Source organism: Homo sapiens (assembly GCF_000001405.40).
Source record: "Homo sapiens chromosome 16 unlocalized genomic scaffold, GRCh38.p14 Primary Assembly HSCHR16_RANDOM_CTG1".
NCBI classification, from domain to species: Eukaryota; Metazoa; Chordata; class Mammalia; order Primates; family Hominidae; genus Homo; species Homo sapiens.
The window spans coordinates 914073-928665 of NT_187383.1; positions in this window are offsets into that span (position 1 = coordinate 914073).

Sequence of the window (14593 nt, forward strand, 5' to 3'; positions counted from 1 at the left end):
ATGATTAATCTGAAAAGGAAATTAAGAAAACAATACCATGAACAACAGTATTAAAAAGAATAAAATGCTCTGGAATCAATTTAACCAGGATGACAAACTATTTGTACAATAAAAACTTTCAAAATGCTGCTGTAAGAAATCAAAGGTACAAATAAATGGAACAGTATCTTCTGTTCATAGGTGAAAAGACTTTTTAAAAAATTTCAACTTTTATTTTAGATTCAGGGGTTACAGGCACAGATTTGTTATGTAGGAATATTGTATAATGCTCAGGTTTGGAGCACATAGGTAGTGAGCACAGCAACCAATATGTAGTATATTAACTTGTCCTCCCCTCTGCACACTTTAGTAGTCCACCGTGTTTACTGTTCCCATATTTATGTCCATATATGCTCAATGTTTAGCTCTTATAAGTAAGAACATGCAGTATTTGGCTTTCTGTTTCTGCATTAATTTGCTTGAAATTATGGCCTCTGGTTCCACCTATGTTCATACCAAGGACATGATTTCATTATATTTCACAGCTGTGTAGTATTCCATGGTGTATACATATCAGGTTTTCTTTATCCAATATACCATTGATGGGCGTCTGGATTGATCCCACATCTTTGCTATTGTGAATAGCACAGTGATGCATTCAAGTGCATATGTCTTTTTGGTAGAATGATTTATTTTCTTTTGGGTATATACCCAGTTGTAGGATTGCTGGGTAAATTGGTAGTTCTGTTTTAAGTTCTTTCAGAAATCTCGAGACTGCTCTCCATGATTGCTGAACTAATTTACAATCCTGCCAGTGACGTAAAGTGTTTCCTTTTCTGCACAGCCTTGCCAACATGTTATTTATTGACTTTTTAGTAATAGCCATTCTGACTAACATGAGATGGTACCTCATTGTGGTTCTGATTTGCATTTATCTGATAATTACTGATGCTGAGCAATTTTTCATGTTTGTTGGCCACTTGTATATCTTCTGTTCAGGCATATCTGTTCATCTCATTTGCCCATTTTTTATTTTTTAATGGTTTTTTTTTTTTGGCTTGTTGATTTGAGTTCCCTATAGAGTCTGGATATTAGGCTTTTGTTAGACTCATAGTTTGTGAATATCTCCTCCCATTCTGGAGGATGCCTCTTTCCCCTGTTGATAGTTTATTTTGCTGTGCAGAAGCTATTTAGTCAAATTAAGTCCTACTTGTCTATTTTTGTTTTGGTTGCAATTGCTTTTGGGGACTTAGCCAAAAACGACTTGCCAAGGCTGATGTCAAAAAAGTATTTCCTAGGTTATCTTCCAGAATTTTTATAGTTTGAGGTCTTACACTTAAATTTTTAATCCATTTAAATTTAATTTTGGGGCATGTTGCAAGGTAAAGGTCTAGGTTCAATCTTCTGCCTATGGCAAGCCAGTTATCCCAGAATGTATTGACTAGGGAGTCCTTTCCCCATTGCTTGTTCTTGCCAGCCTTGTCAAATATCATATGGTTGTAGGTGTGTGACTTTCAGCAGTGTTTTGTAGTTCTCCTTGAAGAGATCTTTCATTTCCTTGGTTATCTGTATTCCTAGGTATTTCTCTTTTTTGTGGCTATTTTAAGTGGAATTGTGTTCTTGATTTCACTCTTGGCCTGGACATTGTTGGTGTATGGAAATGCTACTTATTTCACCATAATCAGTACTGTTTACACTGATTTTGTATCCTGAGACTATACTAAAGTTATTAATTCTAGGAGCCTTCTGGCAGAATCTCTAGGATTTTCTAGGCATAGGATCATATTTTCAGCGAAGAGAGATAGTTTGACTTCTTTTCCTGTTTCGTTACTTTTTCTTTCTCTTGCCTGATTGCTCTGCATAGGACTTCCAGTACTAAGCTGAATAGGAGTGCTGTGAGTGAGCATCCTTGTCTTGTTTCAGTTCTCATAGAAATAGTTTTAAGTTTTTAACCTATTGAGTATGATGTTGACTGTGGGTTTCCCATAGATGACTCTTATTATTTTAAGGTATGTTCCTTGGATGCCTAGTCTATTGAGGATTTTTACCATGAAGTAGTGTTGGATTTTATTAAGAAGACCTTTGTGTATCTGTTTAGAAAATCATATGGTTTTTACTTTTGATTCTATTTAGCTGGTGAATCACATTTATTGGTTTGCATATGTTGAACCAGCTTGCATCCCAGGAATAAAGCCTACTTGACCATGGTGTATTACCTTTCTGATGTGGTGCTGAATTTGGTTTGCTAGTATTTTGTTGAGGATTTTTACATTTTCTGTTCATGAGGGATCTTGGTCTGAAGTTTTGTTTTTTCACAGTGTCTCTGCCAGATTTTCATATCATGCTACTGCTGGTTTCAAAGAATGAGTTAGGAAGGAGCCCCACCGCCTCGATATTTTGAAATAATTTTAGTAGGATTGATATCATTTCTTCTTAGTATGTCTGGTAAAACTCAGCAGCCAATCTACCTGTTTCAGGCCTTTTTGTTGTTGTTGTTGTTGTTGGTAGGTTCTTTAGTACTGACTCAATGTCAGAAGTTGATATTAGTCTACTTAGAGTTTTGATCTCTTTCTGATTCCATCTTGGGAGACTGTGTGCTTCCTGGAATTTATTCATTTTCTCCAGATTTTCTAATTTGCGTGCAGAGCTGTTCATAGTACTCGCTGAGGATCTTTTGTATCTCTATCTGATCCATTCTAATATAACCTGTCATTTTTATTGTGCTTATTTGGATCTTCTCTTTCTTTTTTATATTTGTTAATTTGGCTAGGAGCTTATCAATTTTTTTTGAAGAACCAATTTTTTGTTTTCTTGGACTGTTGTATACATTTTTGCATCTCAACTTCATTAAATTCTTCTCTAATTGCTGTTATGTCTTCTCTCATGCTAGCTTTGGGGTTGGTTGGTTCTTTTTTTCAAGTTCCTTTAGGTGCAAAGTTACATCGTTAATTTGAGACATTTCTAACTTCTTGATAAAGGCATTTAGGGCTATAAAGTTTTCTCTTAACACTGCTTTGGCTGCATCTTAGAAATTTTGGTAAGTTGTGTTCCTATTTCTATCAATTTCAAGTAATTTTTATATTTCTGCCTTACTTTGATGTTTACAAAGGATTTATTCAGGAGTAAGTTGTTTAATTTTCATGTATTTCTGTAGTTTTGAGAGATCTTGGTATGCATTTGTATTTTTTATTGTACTGTGCTCCAACAGTGTGCTTGGTGAGATTTCATTTTTCCTTAATCTATTCAGGCTTTATTTATCACTGAGCACGTGGTTGATCTTAGAATTTTTTTTTGTGCAGATGAGAAAAATGTACATTCTGTGGTTGTTCGATGGAGTTTTCAATAGATGTCTATTAGGTCCAATTGGTCAAGTGTGGAGTTTAACTCCAGAGTTTTCCTGTTAGTTTTTTTTTTTTTTTTTTTTGGCCTCAGTGATATGTCTAATGCTGTAAGTAGGGTGTTGAAGACTCTTACTACTATTGTGATGTTGTCTAAGCCTTTTTGTGGGGAAAGAAAAAGTCATTTTGTAAATCTGGGTGCTCCAATATTAAGTGTATATATATTTAAGATATTTAAGGCTTCTCACAGGATTTTGTCCTTTATCAATATGCCCTTGTTATTCTTCTTTTCATTGGTAGGCAAAGAAGAAGTCATTTTATGAATTTGGATGCTCCAGTGGTAATCACATATATATTTAAGATAGTTAAGGCTTCTTGTTAGATTGCACCCTTTATCAAAATGCTCTTCTTGTCCCTCTTAGTGTTTTTTTTTTTTGGTTTAAATTTGTTTTATCTAATATAAGAATAGTGACTGCTGCTTGTTTTTGTTTCGTTTGCATGGTAGAATACGCTCCACCCTTTTACTCTGAGGCAAAGGGTGTGTCTTGAAAGCAACAGATGGATGGGTACTGTCTTTTTATCCAGGATGCCACTTTGTGTCTTTTAACTGTGGTGTTTAGCTTACTTACATGTTAGGTGAGTATTGATATGTGTGATTTTGAATTCACCATCATGTTGTTAGCTGGTTGTTATGTAGAGTTGATTGCATTATTGCTTTATAGTGCCTGTGGGCTATGTGCTTAAGTGAGCTTTTTTGGTAGCAGATATCATTCACTTGAATCCATGTTTAGCACTACCTTAAAGACCTCTTGTAAGGCTGGTCTAGTTTAAATGTATCACGTCAGCATTTGCTTGTCAAAGGAATTTTTTTTTCCTCTTTCACCTATGAAGCTTAGTTTAGAGGGATATAAAATTATTGGTTAATTTTTTTTTCCTTTAAAAACTCTGCAGATAGGCCCCTAACCTCTTCTGGTTGCAAGGAGTCTGCTGAGAGGTCTGCTGCTAGTCTGATGGAATTCACTCTGTGAGTAACCTGCCCTTTCTCTCTAACTGATCTTAAATTTTTTTTTGCACTGACTTTGGTGAATCTGATGACTATGTGACATGGAAATAGCAATATGGTTTGGATCTGTGATTCTGCCCCAATCACATGTGGAACTGTAATCTTCAATGTTGGAGGTGGGGCCTGCTGAGAGGTGATTGGATAATGGGGATAGATCCTTGTGAATGGTTTAACACCAGCCCCTTGTGCTGTCTCGCGATAACGTTCTCATGAGATCTGGCTGTTTAAGAATGGGTAGCACCTCCTCGCTCTCTGTGTTGCTCCTGTTCTTCCATGTAAGATGCCTTGCCCCCCTCTTCCTTCTGCCATGGTTGTTAGTTTCCTGAGGGCTCCCCATAAGCCAAGCTGATGCTGCATGCTTCCGCTGCAGCCTGCAGAACTGTGAGCCAACCAAACTTCTTTTCATTATAAATTACCCAGTGTCAAGTATTTCTTTATAGCAATGTGAGAACTGACTAATACAGACTGTCATATATTATTGTATCTGACTAGGGGCTGACTGGGGTTCTCTTGGATTTGAATGGCAACCTCGCTAGTGAGATTAGAGGTACTTTCATGAACTATATCTTCATACATATTTTCCAACTTGCCTATTCTCTTTCCTTCTCTCTCAGAAATGTTGATAAATTGTAGATTTGTTCTCTAAGTAATCTCATATTTCTCAATGGGGATGTTGATTTTTCTTAATTCTTTTATCTTTATTTTTGTCTGACTATGTTGATTCAATAAAACAGTGAGCTCTGAGATTCTTTTCTCAGTTTAGTCTATTCTGCTGGAAATACTTCTGATTTTATTATAAAATCCTCACAGTAAATCTTTCAGCTCAAGAATTTTTTAGTTTAGATATTTTTTAAGATTGCTATTTTATCTTTCAGGTTTTGAATCATTTAACCGGATTGCTTGGCTTCCTTGGGTTAAGTTTCAACTTTCTTCTCAATTTAAATGAGTTTCCCTGCTCTTTTTTCCATGTCTGTCATTTTAGACAATTCAGACTGTTAAAAACCATCACTGGGGCACTAGTGGGCTCTCTTGAAGGAGACACTCTGGCTTTTTGCATTGCCAGAGATTTTGAGCCAATTCTTTCTCATCTGAGAGAACTGGTATACCTCTAATTGGGGTATAAATTGAGTATAGTCTATTGGCTTTCTTTTTTTGAAGGTTTTCAGAGGACTAGGACTCTGTACAGTGTCTTTGTTGTTGAATTCTTGCTCTTGGTTTCACAGGGGAAGAATTAGTAAAGTGATTTTTGGTGGTGTAATCTCTACTGCGATCCAGTAGATAGCACTTGAGAGCAGTGGGATGTAGATAGGTTCTTTACCATGCAGTTCCTTTGTGTATCTTCTTTATTTGCAACTATGTTCTGTGGTACAGGTCTGTTCATGAGTCTTGAGAGACTCACTTTCAATCACTGGCACTATGCCCATTATTATTACTATCATTATCTCCTTTTTTTTTTTTTTTTTTTTGAGACGGAGTCTCGCTCTGTCGCCCAGAGACTGGAGTGCAGTGGCAGGATCTCGGCTCACTGCAAGCTCCGCCTCCTCGGTTGATGCCATTCTCCTGCCTCAGCCTCCCGGCTAGCTGGGACTACAGGCGCCCGCCACCACACCCGACTATTTTTTTGTATTTTTAGTAGAGACGGGGTTTCACCGTGTTATCCAGGATGGTCTCGATCTCCTGACCTCGTGATCCGCCCGCCTCCTCCTCCCAAAGTGCTGGGATTACAGGCGTGAGCCACCACGCCCGGCCTATTACTATCATTATCATTATTGTCATTGTTGTTAGGTGTTTCAAGCTGTGGGGCTCCCTCAGGGAGATGTCTTCTAGAAAAATACCCTGCATCTTTACCATAACAGCCCTGTGGAAGGAGGTGTGCCTAGGGCCCACGCCAGCCTGTGAACCTGTGTGAATCTGGCCTCTCAGTTTCTGAAGAGTGTGGGTTCCTCCCCAATTCAACTGCCCAGCACAGATCCCAGCTTGGCACTCCTGAACCACAGGCCACAGCACTGGAGTGCCACGACTTGCTTATGACTCCCTCTTCCTGATGCTTAGGGCCAGGTTCCAAGTGTGGTGAGGGATCTGAGGGATTTCTGGGCCGCCAGAATGCATTCAGGTGGAGCCAAGCATCCAGGTTGGGTAGCAGAAACTACAATGTATACATGCTTCTCCCAGGAAGCCAGGCAGGGGCCATGTAAGAGGCTGGTGGACAGGCATGCCTACAGGATAGACATGTCCCAATCCTGCGGGTAAGCAGGCCTTGCTTTCTCCCTGCAGTTTAGCTGGGGCCAAAGCCTCTGAGAGAGATAGGCAGCCACGGAGGTGGGACTTTATGGTTGAGCTCCACCAGATCTGACCCATGATAAAAAGTCCTGGCTCTGTGCCTGCTACAGCTCCATCTCCATCTACTCTCCAGGGAGAGCTCCTTGCCAACTCACATGTCCATGGGGGTGTGGAGCTTCCTGCAGCCAGGATCCCAGTGGTCTGCAGCGAGAGTGAGCAGCCTCCCAGTCCCTTTACTCACTTCTTCCCCAGATGCCACTCAGGGCCAAAAAGCAGTCATAGCGTTCAGGCACCCCATAAGGGCACCCCAGCTTCCTTGCTCTTCAGTCTTAGAAAACGCACCTTTTCTCCATCCACACTATGCATTTTCTCTCCAAATATCTATTCAAACTATGTTGATGTAGTCAAAATTGTGGTCTTTCTCTTTGGGAGCAACACTTCCTGGCTGCATCCAGTAAGCCATCTTGGAAACTCTCTTAAAAGTACTAATGTGGCAATTTCTCCTAAAATTATCTATAAATGCAGTGCAATCCCAATCAAAAGCCCAATAACTTTTTTTAAATGGAAACAGAAACTAACATTCTAAAATTCAAGTGAAATCTCAAGGAACCAAGAATAGTCAAAACGATCGCAAAAAAAAGAGAAAAAAATGTTCAAAGCTCTAATTTCATAATGAGAAATTTCCTAACGTCAAAAGTTACTCACAGTCATGTTACTCAAAACAGTGTGGTACTGGGATAGAGACTACAAACAAATGAAATAAAATAGAGCCCAGAAAGGTATCCTCACATATATGATAAAATAGTTTAACAAGTTGCCAGGGTTATTCAGTGGGAAAAGAAAGTCTTCAGAAAAAAAAAATTTGCTTGGAAAACTAGATATTCACATAATGAAGTATAAAATTGGACTTATACCTTACACTGTATACAAAATGAAATCGAAGTGCATCGAAAACCTAAAAGAAAAACTTAAACCTGAACAACTATTAAAAAAAAGATAGGGCAAAATATTCATACCATTAGATGTGGGAATAATTTCTTGCATATGATGCAAGCTCAGTCAACAACAAAATAGATACATGACTTCATCAATAGTGAATTTGTCTCTCAGAGGACACTATCAATAGAGTAACAGGACAACTCTGAATAATAGAACATACTCCATAACAATACTCTAATAATACATCTGGCAAGGTATTAATATAGGGAAAATACAAAGTAAAAAGGTTTGAAAATCTTCAACACTCTTCATGATAAAAACATTAAATAAACTGGAAATAGAAAAGATATTGTAAGACATCTATAAAAACCCCACAGCTAACATCATACTTGATGTTAAAAGACAAAATGCTTTCTACCTAAGATCAGAAATAAGACAAAGATGTCTGTTCTCACGACATCTATTCAACATGGTAAAAAAAAGCTGTTAGCTAGGAAATTAGGCAAGAACATAAAAGTATTAGTGATTTCAAAGCAAATACACACATAGCACCCAGGCATAAATACAAAAGCAGACTTTTCACTGCACGTAAAGGTGGATACATGCAGACAAAGACACACAAGCTTGCTAACTGTCAGAGTTAGCAGCTGAAACACACAAATAAATGCTCAGAGAGACACCCAGTTTAGACCTCTGCTCTCTTTACCACACTCTCCTCCCACATTAGCAGTAACCACTATCTTACACATTGTTTATTTTACTTGTATTATATATTTATTCTTTCCTAGAATATCAGCTTCAAGTGGGCAGAATTATTTGTTTTGTTTTAGTCATTGCAGCACCTCCTAGAACATCTGCTACACAGGGCAAGATTAATACATAATAAATCACTGGGCTCAAATTCACACAACTATACACAGTGCTTTTCCATGAACCTCATCATAGGCCCACATAAACTTGATTTGCACAAAATGAGTTTTTCTTAACTCGATCCTATGTGGCAGGGTGGTGTCTTCTGAACTCCAAACAAATTCCTAAAGGTTAGCTTACTCAAATGAATTGAAAATGTAAGTCCACACAAAAACCTGCACAAAAAAGTTTACAGTAATATTAATTGTAGTTTTCACAAAACTTGGAAGCAACCAAGATCATGTATTCACCAAAGTCAGAGGTACAAAATTATTATACAAAAATCAATTATACTTCTATACACTTGCAACGAAATATCTAATAATGCAGTTGAGGCAAAAACAAATCCATTTACAATAGCAATTAAATAATAAATACATAGAAATAAATTTTTAAAAATGTGAAAGAAACTTGTAATCTGAAAACTACAAACCTTATCGAAAGAGGTTGAAGATCTAAATAAATGAGAAACCATTCCATGTTTATGAATCAGTAGGTTTAATACATTATGATGACAATAACTCCCCAAACAGTCTACATCCAGTACAATTAGATTCAGTACAATTAGAATTCAAGGTGACTACCATGTAAAAACTGAAGCATTGATGCTGAAATTCATATAAAATTAAAAGGGACTAAGAATATCTTTAAAAATCTTTAAAAAGATGCCAAATAAGAGGACTCACAAATTACAACTTCAAAATTTGCCTCAAAGCAACCTTAATCAAGATGGTGTAGTAACGACACAAGGAAAGTCATTTAGATCAACGAAGTACAACTGAGAGCCCAGAGAGAGTAAAATCAGCAAAATGGCAAGAATGTACAGCTCCAAACACCTGCTCCTCCACAGAAACAGGGAAAAACAAGCAGAACTGTCAGAAACGATGTTGTAAAACCTGTTGAAAACCATCAAGTTGTACAGCAACCATGTAAATACAAAATCAAGAAAAACAATGAAGAACAGGAGAAAAGCCTCGTGGACTTTTTACACGTCCTTGCCCAAATCCTTCCCTTACTTGATGGCAGTCTTAAAAACAACATCCTGAGTTGCCAGTATGGGCCTCTGCTCAGTGGTTCCAGAGGGAAAAGAGGAGGTCTTACTTGCAAAGTATTGTGTTGTTACATTAAAATCTGTATTAGGGCTATCCAAAGGTCTGAAACAAGGCTCTCTTTTTTCTCTAAGTCAGAAAAAAATCAGTTTAAAAAATTGGCACGAGTTACTTGGGAGTATTTTAAGGAAACTGAAAGCCAGCAGCCCCCTGGAGAACAGATTACAGATGACACATGCAATAGGTCACATAAAGCCAAGAATAAAAAGCTAACGTGAGATTTTGTTTTGTTTTACAAATTAGGCTATTAAAAAGCACCCAGGTATGCTGGCAAATTGACAAAGCACTCTGTGCATAACCACGAAAAACACATTTTCTTAAAGACCCAAGAAGACCCTCATTTTCAGCACTGGCTGACCTTCAGGCTCAGCTCAGCAGAAAGTGAAGACTGAAGCAAAGTTTTCAACAGTATGCATGTGTGTTAAAGGAATGCCCCAGCCCAGAGCCATCCACAAAAACTGGAAGAATCCGTCAGTTTGTCTTTGTCTCAGTTTTGTCATATAGACCTTTGTGACACACAGATCTATATACAATGAAAACTACAAATTTCTAATGAAAGAGCCATGAAAGATCACAGAAGATCTTAATAAATAGAAAGACATTTAATGTGCATGAACATAAAATCTCAATATTGTCAAGATATAATTTCTCCCCAATTTGAGTTATAGGCAAGAGAGTCACATCATCTGGGTGATTGGCCAAACATATGTCACAATCCCTTCCATTGACAGCTCCCAAAAAAGGAGTTACATCACCTAGGTGCTCAGCTCTGAGATGTGTCACAACATTGCCCAATACAGGCAGGGCACAGGCGGGAGAGTCACATTTCCTGGGTGCTTGGCCCAGTGGTATGTCACATTTCCTTATGTAGGAAGGGCACACGTAGCAAAAGAGAGTCACATTACCTAGGTACTGTGCTAGAGCTATCAGTCTCTGTGTCATTCAATGTGAGAGTTATGATCTCTTTAGACATCCATGTAACAGAGCCTCAACTCCTTCATCCTCAGATGTAAAGGCTAGTGAAGACCAAATAAGCCTTGAAAGGTAATTCCCCTAAAAAGGCAGAATGTCTTAGGCTTTGGCCTCTCCCCTTCAAGCACAACGAGATCATAACCTCTCTTTTGACTTCTCACTATGCCCAGCAGTGGAACAAAGCTCCTGACTCCACACCCTCACCTTTCCACCCTTGTACCTTCACTGGACAGACAAGAGACGAGAAGACCTGAACTCTGGGACAGTCTGGGGAGAAAAGAATCCAAAAAGGGTTGAGGCAGCAAGGGCTGAGCTCCCACGGGTGCCCCGGCCCAAAGGTGCAGGTCCAGGCTGTTTTCCAGGTGGCATTCAGTGCAGGTTCTTCAATGCCACTGGAAGGCATGAAAAACCCACTGTAGCTGCTGCTTCTTCCTTTTCTTAAGCTCTGAAAATGCAAACACTTTTTCAAGGTTTTCAGATATGCCCAGGTACCCCCAACTGAAAAGGAGGATAATGGCATTGTTCATCATGGCTTATTGTCTTGCCCAGGCAGGAGCCAGCCCCTGACTCGCCAATCCAGCTGCCCCAGGCTGGAGGTGATCTTGTCGAGCCTCCTCCCTGCAACTCCACTCCTCTTTTTTATCTTCCTCAACCACCGGCATACTTTTGGTCATCCTTCTTGTTGTCACAATGGGGGCGTGATACCATAAAGACCTGGGAACCCCAATGATCTCAGGTCCCGCAGGGGTCAGGTGAGCATATAGGAAGTCCAGAAGGACAGTCATCTGCCACCTCCAGTTAAAAAAGAACAAAACCCTCACACTCCAGGAATGAGTCAAGAACCCAGTGAAGGCCACAGGTCTAGCCCACAACCACCTAGGTATGTGGGGTCCTCCAAGGCTCACGCTTGTGTCCTGCAGGCTGGAGCCCATGCGAGGGTCTGCAGTCTTTGTTCCGGATGGGGAACTACTGCTTCAGCTGGTTACCCAGGTGCCCCGATGGGGAAAGGAAGGAAATGGTGAGAATCTTCAGCACAGCGGATCACATCACCCTGGAAGAGACCAGTCCTGCCTGCGCATAGCACAAGCAGCCGCAGGCTAGAGGCAGTCATGTCAGGCCTCCTCCATACAGCATCTCTCCTGCTTTTTTTTCAAACGGCCCTAATCACTTAATTTGGTCATCTTCCCTGTCACAATGGGGCACCTGGCGCTATAGACACTTGGGAAACACACAGATCTGGGATCCTACAGTGTCCAGGTGAAGACGCCGGGAGTCAGAGAGGAAAGTCTTTTGAAGCCTCCAAAAGGAATGCACAGGACCCCACTTGAAGAGGTGGCGTGCCCAGTGGCGGATACAGGCCCCACACATCGCAGCAGTAAACAGGTAAGGTGCTCCCTGGCCCGTGCCTGTTTCCTGGAAACTGAAGCCATGCCCAGGCTGGGAGACACCATTCCAGATACAGAATAAGCTGTTGGGCTGGCTACCTCACCCAGCACCCGGCCACGCCAGAGAGAATCTTGGATGCTGCTTTCCCACAGGCTGTAGTGCCTTCCAAGTTAGGCCACCCTAATAACACTTCTCCCGCAGGGACTCCACGGTGTCCAGCTCTCCAGCCTGGGGTTTCTCATCACCCAGTGATTCCAAAAGAAACGATCTACAATGGCATGACTAAGTTCCAGAAACAAATAAACAAAATACTGAGGGAAGCCCATTGGTCACTTTGATTCTTCAAAGGTGACAATTGTCCCTCCCTGAAATCTTATGAGTGCATGAACAGACTATTCTAATGTAAATGAAATTCACACTAAAACTGATTGAAAGATGATTCTGTTTCCAAGGTACTTTGTATTCTCAAATTGCATCTGCTTACCCTGGCCCCCTCAAAATGGAAGAGTGATGACTATTTGTCTTCGTAGCACTGTGGGGACACAGAGCCTTAAATGGAAGAGTGTCAAAAGCAACATTCCATAAAGGGCTGTCACTTCCAATTTTCAAGCGAGGTTGGAAACCAACCATGATGTATGAAACACTGTTGGCCAAAGTGCACAATTAGTAATACAAAATGAATAATATAAACTATTGTAAATATGTGTGGACATCGTGGCAATTTGGACATCAAAAACACTGCCAAATTCAGAAAGAGGAAGCTGTAAACTCATGGCTGTTAGGAAGCTTAACTTCTGTGTACTAGAACCTATCAAAATTAAATTTCTCCATGTCAATCCGTCCAAACAAACATTGAGATGTTTATTTCTATATAATTCCTATTGAATCCTACTGGGTAGGACCCTTCTGGCCCCATCCTCACAGCACTGGTGCAGTGAAACTGCACTTGTTCCTGCTTCCCCCTATATTGTTAGGAGTGGAAATATTTAGTAACAGGGTGGATTGGGAGGCTACTGAGGCCTCCTGCGTGGGTGGGTCAGGTCTCCTGCAGCCCAAACCTTTTTACAATAAATAAGTTATAGGTAAAATTAGAAAAAAATTAAAAAATGGAACTCATTCTGTTTCTTTGCTCACCACAAAGAGAAACAGCATCTAGAGATGTCTGTTGGAGCCAGGCTTGTCCTGCTGAGCAGGAGTCCTGGGGATGGAGGGCAGGTGAGATGGGGCTCCCAGGAAGATGCAGCCAAGCCTGGCTCACTCAGGCTGGCAGGGGCCCTCTGAAGGCCAGGAAAGTTGGCCCAGGACACTGAAACTCAAGTGGCTCATCTGGGCCAAAGATCTGACCAAGTCGCACTGAATCTCATCAGCCCTGCCAACTGGAGGTCTGATCAGCCTTGAAGATCTTGCTCACTGGAAGCAGACAGCTGGTGGATGGGTCAGGAGAGCTGCCTACTGCCAATGCAGGAGTCCACTCAGTGTAGGCCCGCTGCCCCACTCAGTGGCCTGGATAACCTGCTGAGGCTGCAGCTTCTTCCAGTTTTTGAGCAATAGGGGCATGCATCATTTCCGAAGGTTTTCAGGCAATCCCTGGTGACCTCTGGCAGGGGGTGGTTATCTTGGCAATCTCCAGCAGGGCCTATGGACTTGCTCCCAGGCAAAACCCAGCGATCCCCGTGCCTACCCAGGCACTAAGCATTTGTGGTGGGGCTTCTGGAAGCTCGCCTTCTCCTGCTGGCTCTTCGTTTTCCCCACCCCGGTACTTCTGGCCATTCTCCCTGTCATCATCACAATGAGACAGCTGGGTGCTGGAGACTCAGAAACTGCCATGCAGACCTTGAGTCCTTCCCAGGCCCAGCCAACAGGGCAGAGAATCCAGGAGAAAAGTCATTTTCACCTCCTGAAGGACCAGAGCTGACCAGGCACCTAGAAGCTGTGCCCCACTGCAGGCTGCCGGTGGAGCTCATGACAAGGCCGGAACAAGGCCGGAACGTGAAGCACTCCCTTGTCTGTCCTTTTTTCCTGAAGGCTGGGGCTTGCCCGGCCAATGTCACCCTTCAGGACAGGGAATCAGAGCTTTGCATGGCTGCCTTACCCCACCAGAGCAGCGCCACAGAGAATCATGGCTGAGGCTTTCCTGTGGGCTGCAGTGCCTGACCCTTTAGGGTCCCCACAAAAACATCTTTCCTGCAAATAATCCACCGTGTCCTGCTTGCCAGCCTAGGCTTCCTCATCAGTTGGTGATTTCAATGAAAACAAACTACAGTGGAATGAACAAATTCTAAATCAGGAACACACAAAGAATCTGTGGAAAGTCCATTTGTCATCTAGATTTTTAAAAGATACACATTTTCCCTTCTTGTTATATTCAGTAGTGCATGAAGCCAATATTATAATAGATGTGCAACTCACACTAAAGCTGACTAAAGGGTGAATTCTTATTCTAAGGTACTTTGTGGTCTCAAATTTATCTGTTCCCACCCCCAGGACCCCATTAAAACTGAATAATTGTCATTGAGAGCAGATGTAGAAAGAAACTAGCTAGGCAGATAGAGCAAAGAGTTCTCAACAGAACATCCCTTCTAACAGAAAGCAACCCAGGAATTCACTTCTCTTTAACA